This window comes from Homo sapiens, chromosome 6, assembly GCF_000001405.40.
Source record: "Homo sapiens chromosome 6, GRCh38.p14 Primary Assembly".
NCBI lineage: Eukaryota > Metazoa > Chordata > Mammalia > Primates > Hominidae > Homo > Homo sapiens.
This window is the reverse complement of record NC_000006.12, coordinates 49,910,639-49,915,276: the sequence shown is the minus strand read 5'-3', so window position 1 is coordinate 49,915,276 and position 4,638 is coordinate 49,910,639. Positions and strand designations below refer to the sequence as shown.

At 35.6% G+C, this 4,638-nt stretch overlaps 1 annotated feature.

The window, feature by feature from the left end:
* Positions 275 to 475: a silencer, noted in NCBI's record as "peak5842 fragment used in MPRA reporter construct". NCBI's record gives its function as "represses an SCP1 promoter by STARR-seq MPRAs in K562 erythroleukemia cells {active_cell/tissue: K562}" and the evidence as "EXISTENCE:reporter gene assay evidence [ECO:0000049][PMID:32103011]".

The window sequence follows — 4,638 nt, the reverse complement described above, 5'->3', positions numbered from 1 at the left end:
GAGCAGCAGCAGTGGTGTCCTTCTCACCGTCAGTATCCCTGTCAGGGAAAGAAGGGTGCCAGCAGGGAGCAGTCTGCTCAGGCCTCTCTTGGCACCAGCAATCCTGGTGCTGACAGCTTCTTGGCTCACTGAACATTTTCAACTCTCACCACACAGTCCAGACCCTGAGGGCCTAAATGGGCTGCACCTACGTTTTTCTTCTGATTTAGCATTAAGTAATGTGTGCATAAAATAATTTAACAAATGTTCTATAACCATTTAAGCTACTACAATAAATATACTCTGATATAAAAATAACATTTCGACAGTCATCTGACGGATAACTTTTTTCCCTAGAAATGCTGCCTAGATGGAGGAGCACTGGTGCAGTAAATATGGCAAATTCTGCTGGTAACTTTAAGTGGTCACACTTAGGCAGATCATGTCTTAGATTAAAATTCATGTCTATTTCAAGCACATGGGTATTGAGGTCTTAGTTATTAGACACATAGGTACATGGAAAATTTACTTGACTTTGAAATGAATGCTTGAGAAATAGGCTACTGTTTTTCCTCTCAGCTTTGGGCTTCACAAGGCAGCTTATAACAATGAAAGCCCTTAAAAGCATTGATAGGTTAAGGGCTATTAGTCTAGGTCAGAAGAAAGGTCATTTAACTCAGTAAGCTTGGACACATAATCTTAATGCTTTGCTTTTTCTGCCAGGAAGATTCAGGGCTTTATTGAGGGACATTCAAATACCGAGTTGTTTAGTGGATAAATAACCTTGTAAAATCTCAGGCTCCTAACACAATGCAATCACCATCATCCATTGAACCTTGAAGGAGCTAATGACTCCTTTTTCAAGTGAGGGGTAATGCTCTTGGGTGACTATATATATTTTGTTCCAAGATCAATAATGTGCTGGTTCTCTGTATCTAACAGTTATTGATACATATCCAACTGATTCTGTTTCATAGCCTTCTGTTTATTTTGGAATGCTAGCTATATTTTTGAGAACTTTATTCAGTCTTATTTTAATTCCCTTTTAGCATATTCTTTTATTTATGTTATCTCAAGAGTGATCTCTTGTTGGGATGGTTCCATGAAATTAGTGTTTCTTACTGCAACCATATTTTTTTGGAAGAAATTTCTTGGCCAGCTGATTGTTTTCTCTTCATGCTCATTTCTCCATCTTTGTTTGGTCTGTGCTTGCTTTTCTAGGACCCCCCAGGTTTCGCAGGTGAGAACCAGTTCTTATATATCTGGTTCTGTATTGTGCTAAGAAAATATAACCAATACATTTTCAGAGTCAGTGTGTAGCTTGCCCCAGGCTCTGGTTGAGGGGTTGTCACGGCCCTTTCCTGACACTCCTGGGATATTGCTCACTACAGGCAACAGATCCTAGTCAGAGTCAAAGCGGTTTCCACTTTCCATTTGCAAACAGGTGCTCTGCTCCCTGACAGTGGGTGGGGCACTGTTAGAACTGCTTCCCCTGGGAGTGGAACTTAGAGATGACATTTCCAAGAGTCATTTCCAGGAGCGAAGCCCTATAGACTTGCCTCTTCACGCGGCTACTTTGTTTTCATTCCATTTCTTCTCCCCAGATAAATTTAACCTGTTTCTGGGCATGAGCATGTTTGTATAAGTATGTACTAATAATGTCTTGTCTGTCATGCTGTGTGGTTTTAGTATGGGGATACAGTGTGAACTAATTTTAACATATTTACCTCTTAAAAGCATTTTTTAAAATCTGTGTTTATGTAATCTTGAACAGCTTCAGAATAAGCTACATCTTATACAAAGTCCAAACAAAAGAAGAAATACAAACTATATTAGCTCACAACACACACACACACACACACACACACACACACACACAAGATATTTATCTAAGCATTAGGTTTCTAATTCCAAATGTGAAAAGAATATGAAGGCAATTTTTTTTAAGATCGGTAACAATATTTTAGAGTTGAGGGAAAAAGAAAAAGAGCATGCTCACAATTTAAGGGACTCTGAGACTTGAATATGTAATTCATGGGGGTATAATTTATCAACAAAAATCATGCTCAGACTGCTATCAATTGAGTACAATTAACCTCATCCTGTAAAATATCTTACTCTACAAAATCTATTACTCCATAAAATCACTTGCTCTGTAAAAATATTTTAATGCAATATCAATTAATATTTGACACAAAAGTTAAATTTTAAAAAATATAACATTTCATTAAAATACTTTATTGCTCAAATATAAAAAAGCTTAAATTAGTAACATTAATATTCAGAATAAGCAATAGCATGAACCGTATTACTTGCTGGTTTATTCAGCTTAAAATTCTAAGAGCCAAATGAGGAAATAGACATGATATTCAGTAATAGGTAGAATATTTTTTTCCTCCATTGGAAATAATCCATTTCTTTTAATTATTTACATATTAATCTTATTAATGCTAGTGATATTATATAAGCCTAAACATCCTTGTGGCCAGACTCTCAGCATTCTCTTCTAGTACTCTGTCACCAGGCCTTCACCTCTCCCTCTTCTCTCTCTCCTTAAATTTTTGTGTTCTACTCTTAATAACACTTTGGAAATGTGTGAGTAACTTAAAGATATGGACTTAGGTTTGCTGTTTGCTCATATGACATCTACCTTTATTCTACGTGTATAAGGTACTGTCCTGCCAAGATTGACTCTGACAGAAAATGTCAAAGAGATTTTATGTGTCAATATTTCATCTAGTCCTTTTTTAAGACCTCCTTTTTCTCCTTTGAGACATTTTCTCAAAGCAGAGTAGTCTTCAATTGCCAAGAAAATGCTACTATTGTTCCCAATTCTATCCAATTTCCTATTCACTCTCAGTTTTCTTTGTCTGCTTATTTAACATTAAAACACATTTTTATAAAGGGCAGTTGTGTCAAGTTTTCCAGCTATATCTTTCTTAAAAGCCCTTTATTCTTATTTAAAATACCAAGATTAACATATCCACATTCAGTTTAATCTCCTTGCTTTAACTAACCTAAACTTTTATGTATCAGTAACACTGGTTCCTGTCCCAGGTTGAAGGGTAAAGTTCGGGTGCTAAGAATAAAAGAGATCTTTGAGTTGACAATAGTAGCATTTTGTTAGCTATTGAAGGCTACTCTACTTTGAGTAGATGTCTCAAAGGAGAAATAAGAGAACCAAAAGTTGAATTAAATTCACTTCCAATTGCATTACAAGATTATATGTTCTTATAATTATTGATCTTTCTCAAGCAGCCCTTGTAATAAATATTTTTTGTCCCCAAATCCTTACTAATTCATTATCCTGCCATTTCTCTCCCTTTTAGTTGCCATGCTGAAAGAAATAAGTTAAAATTGCATGCAAATGTATCACTACAGTAACCAAATTTCAAATACTCTGTTGGGAAATAATGTGACTTGATGAATACACTAATAGTAAAAACCTGAATCAAAGAACAATGAGAGCTTTCTGTAAAATGAAATGCACAAAATGATGTAAAATTACGGTGTTCATGTAGTCAGTGTGGACACTCTTGAAAACCCATTGAGAGATTAAATATTAAAGGGTTTTATAAACTACATAACAAAACAGTTTATAACAAAAGGGTAAATTTTGTTAGGTGGAACAAATTTAACATGCTTGCAGTAAACACAATTAACCTTGTGATATAGTTTGGATGTGTGTCCCTTCCAAATCTCATGTTGAAATGTGAGCCCCAGTGTTGAAAGTGAGATCTAGTGGGAGGTGTTTGAATCATGGAGGTGGGTCCCTCATGAATGGCTTGGTGGCCTCCCCATGGTAATGAGTGAGTTCCAGCTCTATTTGTTCTCCTGAGCTGGTTGTTTAAAGAAGCCTGGTACCTCCTTCTCTCTCTTGCTCGCTCTCTCCCCATGTGACTTGCCTGCTCTCCCTTCGCCTTCCACCATGAATAAAAGTTTCCTGAGGCCTTACCAGAAGCTGAGCAGATTGGCACCATGCTTGTACAGCCTGCAGAACCAAATAATTTATTAAATTACCCAGTCTCAGGTATTTCTTTATAGCAACGCAAAACAGAATAACACACCATGCTTCTCCAATTTTATGTATTTTAATTTATGTATTTTAGTCAGTCCCTTACTTATTAACTGAAATAAGTAATTTGATGTCTATCAAAATATTGGTGTCTAGACTGAAAAATGTTTAGTATTGAGAAATAAAAGTCCGTAAGATAAGATTAGTGTTATGCAGTAGAAAGATAGTGAGCAGAGAATTTAAAAAAAAAAAAACACCACTGGGTTTAAATCCTCAAGAATGTCATAACCATGTGGTCTTGGGTAAGTATTTAAACTTTTTTTCCTTGTAAAATGAACTCACTGCAGAGTTGTTGTGAGAGTAAAGGCAAAGTTACTAGTTGGGTATTTTGTACCAAAAGATACACAATGATAGATTATATCATATTCCTTATTATTGCCATAAAAATTATTTCAACAGTGTATGCTATTTCTCTATTCCTTTAATCAAAACTCAGATACTGAAATATTCTGAATATATACTTTGCTCACAAAACATTTTGCAAAGCTGTTACATATTCAAGACCAGAGAGCAAAGCCTTTAAACTGTAGGAATATTTATAAAGGCAGTCTTTACCACTAAACGTAAACTAGTGAGTCTCCACT